This window comes from Homo sapiens, chromosome 6 (assembly GCF_000001405.40).
Source record: "Homo sapiens chromosome 6, GRCh38.p14 Primary Assembly".
In the NCBI taxonomy this organism is placed as follows: Eukaryota; Metazoa; Chordata; class Mammalia; order Primates; family Hominidae; genus Homo; species Homo sapiens.
In genome coordinates this window covers 43,163,875-43,181,518 of record NC_000006.12, presented here as the reverse complement: position 1 = coordinate 43,181,518, position 17,644 = coordinate 43,163,875, and the positions used below count along the sequence as shown (strand labels likewise).

Below are 17,644 nucleotides of genomic sequence, written 5' to 3'. Positions count from 1 at the left end.
AAGACCCCACAGTCTGTGCACAAAAATGATACATTTATTGAAAGAGTATTTTTTTTTAATACAAAAGAAAGCTCTGTACATAGGACTGTGACCATGTCCACTATTCCTGGGTCAGCATCCCAGGGGAAGTAGAAACCACTGACATACACACTCACATTCAAGCACACACACTCACTCAGGCGCACACACCCACACACACATACCCCAGAGCCACCGAGGAAGGGAAACACCAAGGGTCGCTGCACATAAAAATATCACCTCAACTCATCCCTGACACACGCATGTCCTCCCAAGGCCACGCTCACACAACACACATTATAAGCACTTTGCCTGATTCACTCACTGGGTCTGTCTTTTGTGGGAAGGAGAGGAAGAATTCATCAAAGGTCTCCTCCCCATGGGTGGGGGAGTGGGGAGTGAGTGAGTGATGGTGGAGTGAAACAAGAGCAGAGAAAAGGGGCTGGGCAGTTACAGACCTGAGTCCCAAGCTCCCCTGCTCTCTGGCCCCTGATTTGCCATGCCCCAGCCTTGAAAGCCACCCATAAGCCCCAGCTATCTCCAGGAGAAAGCCCAGAAAGGTGACTTCCATCTTGGCACCCCAAACTGGGGCAAGACAGCAATGAGGGTTAGAGGTTAGGGGGTTCTCAAACATGTCGGCAAATCATCCCCTTGATAACTAGGCTGTGCATAAAATCTTCCCCCATCCCTTCACCTAATCACAGAAGCCAGCTTGTTCCTACTGAAGGCAGTCTTAGGGGTTAAGAAAATTTCACCCCACTGCTGCCCTGTTTCTGAAAAAGCTCCCCTTCTGGATATAGGTGGTGAAGGTAGGCTCTGACACAGGGTAAAAGACCCTCCCCCCTATGCTGGCCCACCCTCAAGGTCTACCCCAAAGGGGGAGGAGGGGGGTGGGGCATGGCCCCTGTACAAATTACATAAATACTGAGGTTACACTTAGAAAAATAAAGTCATTTTCTTCAAGGCTTTTTGTCTTAATTTAAAAAAGTTACAGTAGCTGCTCACTCCCTGGGAGAACTGCCCATTTCTGGCTCCCCTTTGGCTGCACTCAGCCCAAGAAGCTGCTCCCACTTCTTCTGACCCCCATTCCTGCCTCTCACCCCCTCCCAGACCCCACCCTGCTCACTGCAACTTGGGCCCCAGGCAGCTGCATGCCTGGGACAGCGCAAGGCTGCAATGCCCATGCGTGTGGCACAAATGAAGTCAGTTGCCTCTGCCTGACGCCCTCCCACCCCAACCCCGACATTTGGTCTCCCTCTTCCCTCTCCCTAGCAACAGCCCTAAAGGGCAAAAAGAGGCCCAGAGCTGTGGGTCACCCTCCCCACCCCGTTGGGGAATGGCCTGAGGGCCCCTCCCCCGGCTTTCTCCTGGAAACAACCCAGGACTGGGCAAACCCAGAATCTCCCCCACACACTGGTGGACCCCGAGCTCATGGGGTGGCTCTGTCCCCAGGGGCCCAGCCAGTTCTGGGGAGCCTGAGGGCTCCCCAGGGAAGGGGAGTTTGGGCAGGGAGGGGGACGAGAAAAACGCCATAAAAAAAAGTTAAATATTTTAAAAATATATATTTATAGATTTGTTTTCACTTCGTCTCCTCAAATAAAAAGTTCAAAATCAACTTTAAGTAAAGCAGCTGGGAGGAGAGGGGGGAAGACAAGGGGGAGAAGGGAACGCTGGTGGTTCCCTCCAACCCAGGAGCCCCTGGAGGTCCAAGGGGAGCGGCAAGGCAGGGCAGGCGGCCCCAGGAACCTGCCCAGTGCACAGGCCCAGCTACTCAGGAGCTGAAGGGGGAGAGGACAGCAGTGTGAGGAAGAAGCCCCCATCTCCCCAGCTGGCCCCCTGAGGGGCAGAGCCAGGGCTCTTTTGACCCAGCCTGTGACAGACACAGGGCTGACCTGGGGTCAGCAAGGAGGCTGGCAAGAGGGCCCCAACTGCTTCCTCAGAGGAGGACACGGTGCCCAGCCCCACAGAAGGCCTGTGTGTGGGGAGGTGGGGCACGGTCCCATTGGGTAAGCTAATACTCATGGCAAACATCGAGCCAAGCTGGCGAGGGGGTCCCAGGAAGGAGGACAGCCCCTCCAGCAACAGAAATGGGAGGTGGGGCGGGAAGAAGGGGAGGCTGAGGGAGGACGGGTGGAGGCAGGCAGGCCCATTTCTTTGGCTGGAGTGAGAGGGCTCAGTCCTGTGGCTGCCCGTTCCTCCTCCCCGCCTCCCTCCTGCGGCCCGTCAACGTGTGTGTAAAGAAAACGTGAAAAGGCAACAATAAATAAGTGGTGCCATCCCTTGGGCCATCTGTCCAGGGCGGCGGGCGGATCATTCACTCTTGGTGCTGTGGGCGGTGTCCAGGTTCACCACCTGTAGCTCGGTGAGGTTGCTGCTGCTCCCGGCCTGCTGCCCTATCACAGCCATCTGGAGGGAAGGGGATGTATGAGGAGGGGCAGGGACTGGCCAGCCAGTTCAGGCTCCCCTGGCTTCCCTGCCTGCCAACCACAGGCCTGAGCAGAAAAGCAGATGGGCTTCCAGGCTAGGGATTTTGGCTTTGATGAACTGGTAACAGGATCCCCTAAGGTCAAGACAAAGAAGTGGCTATCTGGGATGGGGTGAAAGATATCCCTACCTACCTGGTGGAGCTGAACTGCTGAAACAGGGATCTGCACTGTCCCAGATGATGCTGTCAGGAACACCTGGGGGACGCCACCTACATTGGAAAACCACAGGAGATACTCAAATTGTTTGTTGAAACTTCCAGATATTGGAGGAGTGGTGTCAAATGCACAAGTGACTGGGGCAGTCTCAGATGTAAGAGCCCAAGGGAAAGGGTGCCAGTGTGTCTGAGGGTGCATGCGGGTGTGAGTGTCCAAGTGGGGTGTCCAAATGTGTGTGTGAGCATCCAAGTCTGTGTTGTATTTGGGTAGAAATATTTGTAGGCATCAGTGCATATGTGTGTGTATGTGTGTGTGTGTGTGTGTATAAAGAAGGAAACGGTCCTCCTTTCCTTAGCCCTGCTCCTCTACTCACCTGGCTCCTGGACCTGGCTGTGTGACACCTGCATGGTGGATGGTGCCTGGGAGAAGGCATTCAGCACGGTGAGGCTGCCATCACCCAGGCCCGAGGTGGGGGCATACATCACCGCATGCGGGCTAGGGTACATCATGTGGCCACCCACAGTTGTGGGCACGGATGACGTCATGATGGTGGCGGGCAGCGTCACTGGCAAACACAGACATGTGTCAGCTCGGCACTGGTCCCCACTGATAACTCCCATTCCGTCCCTAGGAATTCCAGGCCCCCAGAGCCCTCTTGCCATTTCCCAGGTCAGAAGCTAGACACGACTATTCCTCAGCTCCATCATCAACTAAGAAAAGCCTATTTTTTCTTGAACACAACAGCATCAATCTTTAATTGTATCCTATCACATTGTACTATTTATTCAATTGTCTATCTACTGAATTCTCTAAGTCCTAAATCTTGGGAAAAACAAAGATTATGACTGACCTACTCTCAGAAAACTCAGATACTCCCCTTTTAGGAGCTCTAACATCTTATTTTTTATTTGTTCTCATTCTCCCTCCTTTTTTTTTTTTTTTTTGAGATGGAGTCTCACTCTGTCACCCAGGCTGGGGTGCAGTGGCGCGATCTTGGCTCACTGCAAGCTCCGCCTCCTGGGCTCATGCCATTCTCCTGCCTCAGCCTCCCGAGTAGCTGGGACTACAGATGCCTGCCATCAAGCCCGGCTAATTTTTTGAATTTTTAGTAGAGATGGAGTTTCACCGTGTTAGCCAGGATGATCTCAATCTCCTGACCTCGTGATCTGCCCCCCTCGGCCTCCCAAAGCGCTGGGATTACAGACGTGAGCCACCGCACCCGGCCTCTCTCTCCTTCTTAATGCACAGCTAACAAATTCATCTTTCAAACAAGCACTTCTCAAATGTTAACGTGCATTATATGGGAATCTTGTTAAAACACAGACTCTGGGCCGGGTGCGGTGGCTCAGGCCTGTAATCCCAGCACTTTGAGAGGCCGAGGTGGGCGGATCACGAGGTCAGGAGATCGAGACCATCCTGGCTAACAAGGTGAAACCCCGTCTCTACTAAAAATACAAAAAAATTAGCCAGGTGTGGTGGCGGGCACCTGTAGTCCCAGCTACTCGGGAGGCTGAGGCAGGAGAATAGCGTGAACCCGGGAGGCAGAGCTTGCAGTGAGCCGAGATGGTGCCACTGCACTCCAGCCTGGGCGACAGAGAGCGAGACTCCGTCTCAAAAAAAAAAAAAAAAACAGACTCCGATTCACTAGGTTTGGGGTGAGACTCAAGATTCTGTATTTCCAACAAGCTCCCAGGTAATGCTGGTGTTCCCAGTCCATAGGCCACACTTTGAGTAAAAAGGTTATAAATAATAAGAACTTAAAATTAACCTTACTTTGAGAGTATCTCATCATTTCTGAAATGTCTAGAGATACCTGAGGGTAACTGTGGCTACTCAAAACCTGTAAGACCCTCGCACAAAGAGAAAATTGCTCTCTAAGTCCTTCCTGATAATTAAGCAAATGTGTCTTTGAGCAAGTAACTTCTTATTTCTAGGCCTCAGGCTCCTCATCTGAATGAGGAGGTAGGTCAATGGTCCCCAATTTTCTTCTGGAATCCGCAGCCCACTGCAGGGCGGGATTCAAAACCCAGTCATCCTCACCTGACTTCCCCATAATTATTAGGCCCAAAGCCTCAATCTCCACTTTAAGAAATCCCCTGACTTTAGTTACAGGAGGGTTACTGTTGGGCACCTACTGCTAGGCCTCGTGGGGGAAGGCAGGGAGGGAGGGTGACAGGGCTGCGAGCTATACCTGTCCCGCTGGAGGAGGTCTGCGTGAGGTCTGTGCTGCTGTCACGGGAGGGAGACGCTTGCTGTGGGGCCTGGTGCACTTGAATGGCCTGCACTGGGACCTGCTGGGCCACTGCCCCACCTGCAAGACACAGAGTCTTATTTGTGCTCTGTCCCACCCAATTGCCACCTCCACCAAGTACCCATGGACACCCCAGTCCCAGGGTCTGGCACACTGGTCTCCAACTCCCATCACTATCTTTCCTGGAAGCCAAAGAGGCCCTTCAGGCCCAAGTATCCACTCTGGGGGCTTCCACGCTCTACTCTTGCCCATCCCTCCTCCTCCTGCCCTGGGCCTTGTCTCTCTTTTCTTCAGTTGACCCAAGAGCTGGCAATAACCCATCAAAGACATGATCTGCCTTCCAGTCAAGGCAGGAAGTGGTGAAACATCTACTGCCCTGTGGCAATGAGGGCACGGGGCTGGGGTAGCTAGACAGGGCCAGAATATATGGTTGAAACTTACTGACAAGGACAGCAGGGGTCTCAGTGGGCAGAGGTATGCCTGCCAACGGGATATAAGAGGCTTCGCTCAGGCTCTGGCCCCTATTCACCTTCCTTCTGAGCAGGGAAAGAGGTTCTCTTGGTGCCAGCCCTAAACACACTCTTAGCATGCTTGATTTGCCCCAGGAAGGACGAATCTCTCCCTGCCCCTCGTGACTCACCAGGCATGAGGGTGAAGCTGGTAGGCAGCTGCATAAGGCCCCCAGAGGAGACAGGGCCGCTGCCTGTACTCTTCAGCACAGTCCCATTGGCACTGCTGACAGCACTGGGGCTGACACTAGCAGACACTGGTGCCAGGTAGTTGGTGATGGGAAAGGAGGGGCCGCTGCTGACTTGCATGGTGGTAGAGGTGCTAGGTGCTGTTTGGATGGTGGAGGTTGTACCCGGCAGGTTGGTGACTGTGAACGCCGGCTTCAGTGTGTCCTATACCCAGAGTAAAGATGAAGCAATGAGCCCCTACCAGATCCTGCCTTTGCAGAAGCTTTGTGTGGACTGAGAACCCAGACTGAAACCAGTGAGCTTGGGTTCAAATCCCAACGCCACCATTTACCTGATGCCTGACTCTTAGGTAAGTTATTGATCTACTGAGCTACAGTTTTCTATCGGTAAAAGGAGGATAATACCTACCCCCTAGGTTGCTGTAAGGATTAAGTAGGTTAGCATATGTAAATCACTTAGAAAACACTACCTGGCACATAAAAAAACCAAAATAAATATTTGCTGCTCTTATGATAATTATTATCATTGTCATTATTATAATCCCCTGAGTTCTCTGCTCCAGCGGACTGTGGTAATCCCATTGGCTGGGGAGTCAGGACACCAAGGTCTGTTCCTAGCTCTGGTAATGACCATCTAAGTGACCCTGAAATAACCAGTCCCCTTTTCTGAACCTCGGTTTTCCTCTTCTATAAGCATGAGGGGGCTGGGCTACTACGTTTTCTTTCAAAGAGTTCTTCCAGCTCTAATTTGTCAGGCTTCTGAGATAGGAACTGAGTTTCTCAGGGAACTTAAGAGTTTGAGAGAGATCTTGAGAATCTGGCAATGACACACTATATGTCAAACACCCAAGATGTAAACTACCAAAAGAATGTACTCATCCAACAAAATTTCCTGGGAATAAATGAGCCCTACTGTTATAAAAGTTTAAAAATTATTACAGATGATATGCCACTAAGAGAGGAGGTAGCCTACAGCACTGACTCTCCCCTAAGGAAGACTTCGTTCTTAGAAGGGGAAGAAGGAAACTGAGAACCAAGCCACCAAGCCCAGACCCGAAATGAGTCAACCAGAGGCTCAAAGGCTGCGGGGTGGGTCAGCACGAGACGTTTGCAAAGCAGCTGGGCCCAAGACCCTTGATTGGCAGAGGCGTTGCTAAGGCAAACAGTGCCGCTTCCTCCCATTGGCCAGTCAGTTAAGTGCCACCCGGAAGGTGGAGCTCCCCAGACAGCAAGGGAGGAAGCCCCACCCCCTCTCCTTACCGGGAAAAGGAAGGGGGAGGAGTAACAGCGCAGGCATCCCTAGCAGCAGGCAAATGCGCTCCCTAACTGCCCAGGCCCCCAACACCCTGAAAGGGCAGCGGCTGGCTTGTAAGGTAGTCCCCGGCCCAGTCAACCAGCCCGCCTGCCAAGAGTGCTGGATTCCCAGGACCCCGGGACCGGAGTGCTCCCTTTCTACTCCCTGGCGACCCAGCCCGGAGGGCCGGGCTAAACTACACCCCCGCCCCTAGCGGGGAGACAGCTGGCGGGAGGAATGCAAAGGCCCTGCCAGGCAGGCGGGCTGCGGGCGGGAGGCCGGCGTGGAGCCCAAGCCGGCCTTATATGGGCACGGAGGCCGCCCGCTTATCTAGGGGGGCGGTCTTCTATCAGGAAAGTGAGGATGGACACCTGTCCCCTAGGACGAGGGTCGTTAATCCGGCTCCACTCCACATCGGTGGGCACCTATCCACCTGTCCTGGGCCAGAAAGGGAGAGGGACCCCACTCCCTTCCCTCCTCTCACATAGGCAACCCAAACACACCTTGGTCTCCCCACTGCTGTCAGACTCCGACACCTGGTAGGTGAGATCTGTCTCTTCAAAGCCAGTGGCACTCATTCTCTGGTCTGTTGTGGGGTCTGAACGGGGTGGAGAGTCTGGCGAGTTGAGGCAGGTCTGAATCAGTGCCTTGCCGGTCTCACTGGTGATCATGGGCTGCAGTTTTCGGGTGGCAAAGGTATACACATGGCCTGTCTCACTGGCCACCAGCAACAGCACCTGTGTCCCTGTCAGCGTGGACAGCTCATAGGCCTGAGGGGTGAGGAGGGAGATGGGCAGGTCAGCAAACTTTTTATCTCTACCTTCCTTGAGAAGTTGGAAAAAGAATTATACAGTGATGTCATTCCCCCATTCCCATAATGACCTTCGTCTCTAATGACTCTGAGGGCAGGGTGTCCTATCAGGATCTCTGGAAGCAGCAAAACTACCCATGCTCCTCCTTTGAGGAGCAGCCCCATTGACCTGAAGATACCCCAAGCAAACAGTAACAGCCCCCAGTGATGGAACATATAACTTCAGGGGATACGAAGGACCCAGCTAGCTGCTCCCCAACACAGCTTAGTGCCTGGAATGTCCCAGAGCCTCACCCCTTCTCACTGTCACAGGGACCAGGATGGATCCCTACCTATCACACTGGAATTTGTACAAGACATTAGTGATAATGGACCATTTAAGCTCCAACTGTCCCATGTTTCTTTCCAGAAACTGCACAGGCTCCAACTTGTTGCCACAGCCTAGTTTCTCCTTTTGCCCTGTAATACTTTACTGCCCTTACTCCTTTGTCTTGGGAAGAAGGTTATGGAAGGAGAGAAGAGAGTTTTCCTTAATTACCTCCCCCCACAATCTTCTCCACTGATGATCAAGTGACAAGGGACACTGATACAACAGTGTCTGGAGTGATGGGAGACGAGACCTAGATTAGCACTAAACATCCTGCCATGAGCCCAGGAAGGGGACCTTCAAGGATGGCCCCATAGATGCCATACTCTCCCAACAAAGTTCTGCAAACCACCTTGGAAGCAGCTCTGGTTTCTACATGGGACAGAAATAAACACCAGCCAGTGTTCCCAAGGATCCAGCTCCTTGTCTCCCAGTTCCTCTGCTTTCATCTCTTCCCTTATCGTCTACACCCCAAAATGACTCCTTTCCTCAACACTTTTCACTGGCTGGCAGAAGAGGAATTCCTAGGTACCTCTGCAAGCCTCCCTGACTTCCCCCAAACCCCATCCAAGCATAGATTCTCCCTAGGGCTGGAAACCCCACTTGTCCTAACGGCAGGAGATTCTGCAGCGGGTCCTGCCAGGAGCATGTGGTTCCCAGTGGATGCCATGGAAGACTCACGGCCGGCGCAGGACTAGGTTCCTGCTGCTCAGGGCAGCACCAGTTCTCCTGCCCCGCTCCCTTACCTGGTCCCTAACCCTGCCTGTCCTTCCAACCAGCACTACTCTCGTGGTGCCCACTTCCTCCCACACATGTTCGCTCATTGTTGTCATGCAGCTCCAGCCTCCTCACCTCCATACCTTCTCGTTTGCTCCCTGCTTTTCCGGCGCCCTCGTCCGAACACCGGAGTGCACTGGACCTACTGATCCCGGGTTCTCATTATCCACCTCCCCGGCAGCCTCGTAGCCTCCCATCACCGCTCCTCACCCCTTCACTCAGCAAGGGCCCTCTTCCTCTCTGGCGCCGGTCACTCCCACCTCTGCGCCTTTCCCCACGGTTGCGAGCGTTCGCGGGATCTCCCCTCTCCCCACATTTCCCCGGCGGCCCCTCCCCTTCGGCCCTCCCCGGGCAGGAGCCATCCCCTCCCACACACCTCCTGCGGACTCGCAGCCTCTCACCTCCGCCTCGGCTCTGCGGTCCTCCCGGGCTCCCTTTGCACATCCCCACCCCAACCGGGCCCCGGGGCCGGCCAGCCCCCCGGCTTGGTACCTTCTTCATGATGCCCGTCTTCCTCTTGCTGAAGGTCGTGTAGCGCCGCAGCTTGTTGTCGATGAACTCCATCTTGATCTTCACGCGGCCCCGGGTCTTCTTACCCGGCTTGGCCCCGCTCACCGCGCCGCTCACCGGCCCGTAGCCCCCGGTGGCCGCTGCCGACGCCTCGGGCCCACCGACCACCATACCGATCTCCATCTCGCTCAGGCTCCGCTTCAGGCCGCGCCGCTCGGCGCCCAGCTCCTCCTCCTCGCCCGACTCCGAGTCGCCCTCGCTGCCGCTGTAGAGGGCCCCCGCGGTGGGCGCCGGGGTGGTTGCCGCCGCTGCCGCAGCCTCCCGCTCCAGGCGGCCGGGCCCGAGCCCCGCGCCATTCCCGGGGACCCGGCCCCCGTTAGCCCCGCGTGTCCCGCCGCCGCCGCCCGGCCGCCCCGTCGGGGTCCGGTTCAGGCTGCCCCCCAGGGCCGAGCCCCGGCCCAGAGCCGCCGCGGCCCCAGCTTGGGTCGGTAACATGGCGCTCGATGCAGGAGGGCGGACGGGCAGTCAGCGAGGAATCGGAGCCGCCGCAGCCGCCGCCATCGGCTTCCCGGCTCAACCCGGCACTCCCGCTGCTGCTAGTGCCGCTATCGCTGCCGCGGCCGCCGCTGCGAACCCGGGGCCCCTGCACGCCCGGGCCGACCTGGGCCCTCACTTTCCTGCCCCTGTGGCCCGGGTTGCCCCAGGCCGCGCGCAGCGCCCCCTGTCCGTCTGCTAGGGCGGCGCGCCGGGCGGCCGTCAGCGTCCCCCGGGGGGCAGGGGCTGCTGGCCGCGGCCGAGACGGCGGGTGGAGGGGGCCGGGACCACGCGCTGGCGGCGGAGGGATCCCCCGACCCTTCCCCCCATATAAAGAGATACAATGTTTCCTTTTATGGCGAGGCCGCTCCTTATATGGTGAGCCCCAGCGCCCCCGCCCCATTGGTCCGTGGTTCCGGCACCTCCGCTCCCCATTGGCCCACAAGAGGGCGCTTATTTGCATAGACATACCGAACTCGTTGCTGTCATCTCGCGTCAGACCGCGACTCTGAGAGGGGTGGAGCCGACGCCTCTTAAAGGAACCGGAGAGCAGGCACGATTCCGCCTCCCTGAACCCGAGAATGATAGAACGGTTTGGGAGGCACCCGCGGAGAAGGAGGCTGGGACTGGAGCGCAGTCTTGCGGAAGAGAGGGAGCAGCACTAGTAAATGGGCACCGGGACCGCTGGAGGCAAACACTGGGGAAACCCCTGGGTGGATTGTGGGGTTTGCAGTAAATAAAAAAATACAGCCCAAATTCCAAGGGAGGAGTGCAGGGATTGATTGGAGCATTTCCTCACGCCTTCCTAAGGGAGGCACAGTTATTGGCTGAGCGGAGAGAGCTTGGGTCCCCGCCCGGTGTCCAGACTCGTCGCGCCCCAGCCTCTCAGCTCTAACTTTTCCCCTACCCCCAACTTCCCTTCCCTTTCCCTCGCTTTTGTAGGCGACGAAACTTTCCCACCGGGCTGGCTCGAGGATCTTCATTCATCATCCTCTGCACTGGGGGGTCTTTGGCAGACATACATCTGGAAAAGGCTGGTGGAGGGGAGGGCGAGAGAGAGAGATCGGCCTCCCAGTCCTGAGGCGGGCAGGGAGGAGAGACGGAGATCAGGGAGGAGAGATGGAGATCAGTGAAGACTTCCAGCTGCAGGCTGGACTTGGGGAGGAGGACGTCCCGAGGATAAAGCCCACCCTACAGCCAGTGCAAAGACTTGGGAAAGTGTGGCCCGACAGAAAGTTTAAGCCCAAGCAAGCACGCTCGCGCACACACACGCACATACACACACTTCTCTGGAAAGCCCGTTGGAGAAAAAAAAAAAAGTTTCACACAGGGTATCGCTCTGTCGCCCAACCTGGAGTGCAGTGGCGGGATCTGAGCTCATTGCAACCTCTGCCTCCCGGGTTCAAGCGATTCTCCCACCTCCGCCTCTCACGTAGCTGGAACTACAGGTGCGCGCCACCACTCTGGCCTAATTTTTGTATTTTTTGTAGAGATGGGGTTTTGCCATGTTGCCCAGACTGGTTTCGAACTCCTGGCCTCAAGCGATCCTTCCCCCTCGGCTTCCCAAAGTGCTGGGATTATAGGCATGAACCACCGTGCCCAGCAGAAAAAAAAAAAAAAAAAAAAAAAAACTTAAAAGATTAGAACTGGGGTGCTGCAAAGTGAGGTTCAAGCTCTGGGTCTGGGTCTTTTCTCCAAAGCAGTGAAAATAGCTTGGACTTTGCTGTTACAGAATTATTTAAATCTGGAATCTGCCTCTTGGTAAGCCCTGTGCCTGGAAACAAGTGACAAGTGATCTGATCTCTCCAGACGCAATATTCATCAATGCTGCTATCCATTCCCTGAGTTTTTTTTTTTTTTTTTTTTGAGACAGAGTCTCGCTCTGTCGCCCAGGCTGGAGTGCACTGGCACGATCTCGACTCACTGCAACCTCTGCCTCCCCAGTTCAAGCGATTCTCCTGCTGCCTCAGCTTCCCAAATAGCTGGGATTACAGGTGCCCACCACCACACCTGGCTAGTTATTTTGTGTTTTTAGTAGAGATGGGGTTTCGCCATGTTGTCCAGGCTGGTCTCGAACTGCTGACCTCAAGTGATCCTCCCACCTCGGTCTCCCAAGGTGCTGGGATTACAGGCATGAGCCACCATGCCGGGCCTATTCCATGAAATTCTTAATGCAGATTTAATGACATAAAGACTAAAGGGCAGAGTAATTGGTCAGTGGTTAGGCAATAGGAGTTACCTGGAGTAAGTCACCTCATCCTAGGGATAAAGCATCTTGGCATGTTTAAGGGGATGGGAGGCAGTGATTATTCCTGCCCGAAAAATTATGGAGATTAAATAAAGCAGTTGATTGTAACCTAGTCATTACTGGTAGTGGTAGTGATATCAATTCAGTATACTACAATCAACATTTAAAAGAATAAATTAATGGGTATCACAAAAAGCAAGGGCAAATATTGTTGCATAAAATGTTTGTTTGCATTATATATAGGTTGAACCCTACAAAATTGCCATTTTATAGGTCAAGAAGGTGGGATATTGTCAATTTCTCATAATTCAGTGTATGTGTGTAATGGATGACAATATTAACTGCATTTCTTACTGTGAGTCACAATCCAAAAGCTTGAAAAATACTGAAATAAAATATGTGCAAGTGATCAGTAAAATATAGTGTGTATTTTGTGTGTATAGTGAATAAAATATAGTGTGTATTTTTTGTCATATAGAGATAAGGTCTCCCTATGTTGCCCAGGCTGGTCTCAAACTTCTGGGCTCAAGCGATTCTCTCACCTCGGCCTCCCAAAGTGCTGGGATTAAAGGCCTGAGCCACTGCACCCAGCCCCCAATAGTTTTAAAGAGGTCTCCCCTCCCTCCACTAATTTACTCTTTACAACAGGTACTTAAACATATGGAACGTGTTAGCCCAAGAGGAAGAACAGGTCAAACAGATAAATAGGTTCCAGAAGGGTTTTAGGGACCACAAATGATGCCTGGGGTCATGTTTTGTCTGAGCACCATAATATTACAGCCAAAGCTCTGGGATTTCATTCCCACCTGCCCTCTAAAGACCCTTTCATTTGCGCCCCCTAGTTTAGACACATGCAGGGGTGACATCCCTCAGCAGGGACAACTGCTCTCTGTCACATCTATAGGGGAGGGTGTCTGGGAAGAACGCAGTCCTTAGCTTCCCTTCAAATAGGCTGCCCTCTCTTCAACTTCTCCCAACTCCTGGGTCATTGCACACCAGTGTTAGTGTCACAGCTTCTCTGTCTGCTTGGGATGGCCCATCTTCATGTCCTTTGTCACCACAGGGAGTCAGGAGGAGACCTCTACCCACACTATTGGATTACTGCAGGTTCCAGAGCCAAAAGTATTGCTAGGGATAAAGTCAAAATCAAAAACTGTCTCATAGAGGTGTTTTATTTGGACCTTATAACATTTAAAAATCATAAGAGTTTACATAAAAATCTGAATGTCTGGCCGGGCGTGGTGGCTCATGTCTGTAATCCCAGCACTTTGGGAAGCTAAGGTGGATGGATCACTTGAGGTCAGGAGTTCAAGACCAGCCTGGCCAACATGGTGAAACGCCATCTCTACTAAAAAAATAAAAAAGTAGCCGGGCATAGTGGCACACATCTGTAATCCCAGCTACACGAGAGGCTGAGGCAGGAGAATCACTTGAACCTGGGAGGCAGAGGTTGCAGTGAGCCTAAATGGGGCCACTGTACTCCGGCCTGAGCTACGGAGTGAGACTCCTTTTCAAAAAAAAAAAAAAATCTGAATATCTGACCTCTCTCAAAAAAATCAGAATTTTTGGTAACACTGGGCCTAGGTACCCACAAAAGCATTATAACCTGGAGCTGATGGTGGCCATAGAAGAGGCTCTCCACTTTACCATAGACTCCACGCAGCCTACTGAGCCTAGGTAAGCTCCTGCCTGGCTGCTCTGAAATGTGAAGTTGAAATGTTCCTCCGAAAAGGCCTGATCAGAGTAGCACCTTGCAACAGATGGGAGCTCATGTCCACCCCAGACCATGAAGGGCCTCTGTAAGTGCATGGGAATTTCAGCCAGATCCCTCACACCACACAGATTCCACCCTGACCTTTCTTTCTTTCTTCTGATTTTTATCACCTAACTAATAACAAACAAAAATTAAGGATTGCTTTTAAAAATTACTGTCATGGCTGGGTGCAGTGATTCACACCTAAAATCCCAGCACTTTTTGAGGTCAAGGTGGGAGGATAATTTGAGTCCGGGAGTTTTGACACCAGCCTGGACAACACAATGAGACCCCATCTCTTAAAAAAAAAAAACACAGGCAGGCAAGGTGGGTCATGCCTGTAATCCTAGCACTTTGGGAGGCCTAGGAGGGTGGATCACCTGAGGTCAGGAGTTCAAGACCAGCCTGGCCAACATGGCAAAAATCCCACCTCTCCTAAAAATACAAAAATTAGCCGGGCCTGGTGGTGTATGCCTATAATCCCAGCTACTCAGGAGGCTGAGGCAGGAGAATCACTTGAATCTGGAGGGGAGAGATTGCAGTGAGCCAAGATCGTGCCACTTCATTCCAGCCTGGGTGAAAGAGTGAAACTTCATCTCAAAAAAAAAAAAAAATGCTGGGGCACAGTGGCACGCATCTGTAGTCGTAGTCCCAGCTACTAGGGAGGCTGAGGTGGGAAGATTGCTTGAGCCCAGGCTGCAGTGAGCCATGATGGCACCACTGCACTCAATCTAGGTAAGAGGAAAACCCTGTCTCAAAAAAGAAAAAAAAATTACTGTCAAAATACCCTAAATCTGTTTTCATTTGGAATTAACCTTTACTCAGGGATTCATAATTTTGCACAGAGGCAAAGAGGGTATCAATTGTGATGGCAGCATTAGCAGTAATGGAAAAGAATTTATGAGTCATTGTGCCCAGGAAAAGTCTGGAAAGCCACACTCCAAACACTAATAGTGCTTACCTATGGAGAGTGAGGTTTGGGATGAGAGGGGTGTGTTTTTTTGCTTTATATAAGTTTGTACCATGTGACTTCTTTGACAATCAATATGACTTTTATATTTTTCTTTTAAAATTAAGCAAAAATAGGCCGGGTGCGGTGGCTCATGCCTGTAATCCCAGCACTTTGGGAGGTTGAGGCGGATGGATCGCTTAAGGTCAGGAGTTTGAGACCACACTGGCCAATATGGTGAAACCCTGTCTCTACTGAAAATACAAAAAAAATTAGCTGGGTGTGGTGGCGGGCACCTATAATCCCAGCTTCTGGGGAGTCTGAGGCAGGAGAATCGCTTGAACTCAGGAGGTGGAGGTTGCAGTGAGCCGAAATCAAGGCATTGCACTACAGCCTGGGGGACAGAGCGAGACACTCTTTCAAAATAATAATAATAATAATAATAATAATAAAATTAAGCAAAAATAGGCTGGGTGTGGTGGCTCATGCCTGTGAGCACTTTGGGAGGCTGAGGCAAGTGGATCGCTTGAGCTCAGGAATTTGAGACCAGCCTGGGTAACATGGCAAAACCCTATCTCTACGAAAAATACAAAAATTAGCTGGGTTTGGTGGTACGCACCTGTAGTCCCAGCTACTCGGAAGCTGAGGTGGGAGGATCCCTTGAGCCTGGGAGGTTGAGGTTGGAATGAGCCATGATCTACCACTATACTCCAGCCTAGGTGACAGAGTGAGACCCTATCTCCAGAAAAAAAAAAGAAAGAAAGAAAGAAAGAAAGTAGAGAAAGGAAGGGCAATGACAGTCTCAGGAGCATAGCCATGGCAGGAGAAAAAGAAGCCTTAGGCGGGGCGCGGTGGCTAACTCCTGTGATCCCAGCACTTTGGGAGGCTGAGGCGGGCGGATCATGAGGTCAGGAGATCGAGACCACCCTGGTTAACACCATGAAACCCCGTCTCTACTAAAAGTATAAAAAATTAGCTGGGCATGGTGGCGGGTGCCTATAGTCCCAGCTACTCGGGAGGCTGAGGCAGGAGAATGGCGTGAACCTGGGAGGCGGAGCTTGCAGTGAGCCGAGATCGTGCCACTGCACTCCAGCCTGGGCAACAGGGCAAGACTCTGTCTCAAAAAAAAAAAAAAAAAAAAAAAGCCTTAGCCAGGGCTGGAGAAGGACTGGCCAGAGAAACTGTTGACAGTGTAAAAAAGTGAGGGAGGGCGGGGGGGCGCGGTGGCTCACGCCTGTAATCCCAGCACTTTGGGAGGCCAAGGCGGGTGGATCATGAGGTCAGGAGATCGAGACCATCCTGGCTAACATGGTGAAATCCCGTCTCTGCTAAAAATACGAAAAATTAGCCGGGCGTGGTGGCAGGTGCCTGTAGTCCCAGCCACTTGGGAGGCTGAGGCAGGAGAATGGCGTGAACCCGGAGGCGGAGCTTGCAGTGAGCTGAGATCACACCACTGCACTCCAGCCTAAGTGACAGAGCAAGATAGTCTCAAAAAAAAAAAAAAAAGGTGGGGACGGAGGAGAGTCTCTGAAGAGGAAGGTATGGCCAACAATGTTAGCCACTATGGAGTGCTCAAGGAAGAACAAGAGTTAGAAGAGGATTTAGTGATTAATAACTTTCCAGAGCAGTGCCTTTCAAATATTTCTGGGTGCAACCCACAGTCAGAAATCATTTTTACATTGCAACCTGTGGTCAGTTAGATTATTGCTCCCAACTCTTCACACCCTCTGTTGGAATTATATACATCAACATCCTTGCCGTGTGACTTTGCAGTATGTCCTACTGGTGCTGATGTTGGGTTTTACTGTGTGACTTGCTTTGGCCAATAAAATGTTAATAGACGTGTGTGTGTGTGCGTGAGTGTGTGTGTGTGTAAGAGATGGGGTCTATTTTGCCCAGGTTGGAGTGAGTGTAGTGGCTATTCACAGGAACAATCATTGCACACTACAGCCTCAAACTCATGGGCTTAAAGCGAACCTCCTGCCTCAGCCTCCCAAGTAGCTGGGACTACAGGCACATGCCATGGTGCCAGCTCAGACTTGTGGTTTGAAATGTGCTTGCACAGTTTGGCTTGACCTCTTGCACTCTGCCACTGCATAAGAACATGCTCTGGGTGCCAGCAGACTAGACCTAAGCCAGACCTCCAGCCTGGCACCAAGCACAGCCAAAATCAGCCAACCCTCACCAACCTGCAGATACATGAGTCAGAAAAAAATCTTGTCAGCTAGTAAGATTTGGGGATTACTATGCAGTATCACCACCCAACAGTTAACTAACACACTATCCAATATATATATATATATGCAGCAAATATAACAAAATTTTGTAAAACAACAATTACCCTTAAAGGATACAACGTACTCTGATAGTGCCTATTATGTTTCTTTTTTTCCCTTTTTTTCTTTTTTAATGCTGGTTGCAAACCAGAGTTTGAAAAACACTGCTCTAGAAAAATTTTCCCTTCAACACATCTGAAGGATGTAATGCATGGTGTATACCAGTGACTATGGCTCACTTACTAGCTGTGTAACCATGGGCAAACTACCTGACTTCCCTTGAGACTCAGTTTCCTAATCTGTGAAATGGAAATAATCTCATCTGGCTAACAGAGTAGTTGCAGAGATTAAATGAGATAATGCACATTAAGTGACTAGTGCAGATAAAGTCTTCAAAAAACATTAGCTTTTCTTTTTTTTTTTTTTTTTTTTTTTGAGACAGGGTCTTGCTCTGTCACCCAGCCTGGAGTGCAGTGGTGAGAACCTCCTGGGTTCAAGAGATCCTCCCTCCTCAGCC

At 52.1% G+C, this 17,644-nt stretch overlaps 1 protein-coding gene across 3 annotated transcripts, besides 7 other annotated features; it reads right to left on the bottom strand.

Annotated features, from left to right (window-relative positions):
* Positions 1-12: 12 nt before the first annotated feature.
* Positions 13-10,250, bottom strand: SRF (serum response factor). Of its 3 annotated transcripts, none has more exons than NM_003131.4 (7): positions 9,350-10,250; positions 7,406-7,672; positions 5,552-5,813; positions 4,852-4,971; positions 3,034-3,225; positions 2,637-2,713; positions 13-2,424 (listed from the first exon to the last, which is right to left on the bottom strand). In NM_003131.4, the coding sequence occupies exons 1-7, from the start codon at positions 9,860-9,862 to the stop codon at positions 2,329-2,331; spliced, it is 1,527 nt and encodes a 508-aa protein (NP_003122.1). In that variant the 5' UTR covers positions 9,863-10,250; the 3' UTR covers positions 13-2,328. The 3 variants fall into 3 exon arrangements, with proteins under 3 accessions (NP_003122.1, XP_047275224.1, NP_001278930.1); XM_047419268.1 differs by lacking the exon at positions 9,350-10,250 and adding an exon at positions 8,941-9,123; NM_001292001.2 differs by lacking the exon at positions 9,350-10,250 and adding an exon at positions 9,068-9,123.
* Positions 2,655-3,154: an enhancer, noted in NCBI's record as "H3K4me1 hESC enhancer chr6:43146103-43146602 (GRCh37/hg19 assembly coordinates)". NCBI's record gives its function as "activates a minimal SCP1, AML or CMV promoter by ChIP-STARR-seq in primed H9 embryonic stem cells {active_cell/tissue: H9 hESC(primed)}" and the evidence as "EXISTENCE:reporter gene assay evidence [ECO:0000049][PMID:30033119]".
* Positions 3,155-3,656: an enhancer, noted in NCBI's record as "H3K4me1 hESC enhancer chr6:43145601-43146102 (GRCh37/hg19 assembly coordinates)". NCBI's record gives its function as "activates a minimal SCP1, AML or CMV promoter by ChIP-STARR-seq in primed H9 embryonic stem cells {active_cell/tissue: H9 hESC(primed)}" and the evidence as "EXISTENCE:reporter gene assay evidence [ECO:0000049][PMID:30033119]".
* Positions 6,444-6,673: an enhancer, noted in NCBI's record as "active region_24594". NCBI's record gives its function as "activates an Ori minimal core promoter by ATAC-STARR-seq in GM12878 lymphoblastoid cells {active_cell/tissue: GM12878}" and the evidence as "EXISTENCE:reporter gene assay evidence [ECO:0000049][PMID:35858748]".
* Positions 8,322-9,290: an enhancer, noted in NCBI's record as "NANOG-H3K27ac-H3K4me1 hESC enhancer chr6:43139967-43140935 (GRCh37/hg19 assembly coordinates)". NCBI's record gives its function as "activates a minimal SCP1, AML or CMV promoter by ChIP-STARR-seq in primed H9 embryonic stem cells {active_cell/tissue: H9 hESC(primed)}" and the evidence as "EXISTENCE:reporter gene assay evidence [ECO:0000049][PMID:30033119]".
* Positions 8,822-9,031: an enhancer, noted in NCBI's record as "active region_24593". NCBI's record gives its function as "activates an Ori minimal core promoter by ATAC-STARR-seq in GM12878 lymphoblastoid cells {active_cell/tissue: GM12878}" and the evidence as "EXISTENCE:reporter gene assay evidence [ECO:0000049][PMID:35858748]".
* Positions 9,762-10,341: a silencer, noted in NCBI's record as "silent region_17219". NCBI's record gives its function as "represses an Ori minimal core promoter by ATAC-STARR-seq in GM12878 lymphoblastoid cells {active_cell/tissue: GM12878}" and the evidence as "EXISTENCE:reporter gene assay evidence [ECO:0000049][PMID:35858748]".
* Positions 10,317-11,046: an enhancer, noted in NCBI's record as "NANOG-H3K27ac-H3K4me1 hESC enhancer chr6:43138211-43138940 (GRCh37/hg19 assembly coordinates)". NCBI's record gives its function as "activates a minimal SCP1, AML or CMV promoter by ChIP-STARR-seq in naive H9 embryonic stem cells {active_cell/tissue: H9 hESC(naive)}" and the evidence as "EXISTENCE:reporter gene assay evidence [ECO:0000049][PMID:30033119]".

Bases quoted from the DNA above. Each gene is read 5' to 3' on its own strand.
- SRF (NM_003131.4), bottom strand. From the start codon at position 9,862: ATGTTACCGACCCAAGCTGGGGCCGCGGCGGCTCTGGGCCGGGGCTCG. The intron at 5,814-7,405 runs GTGTGTTTGGGT...CTCTGGGTATAG, and splicing joins ACAGCAGTGGGGAGACCAAG to GACACACTGAAGCCGGCGTT. The intron at 2,714-3,033 runs GTGAGTAGAGGA...TTTCCAATGTAG, and splicing joins CAGCCAGGTCCAGGAGCCAG to GTGGCGTCCCCCAGGTGTTC.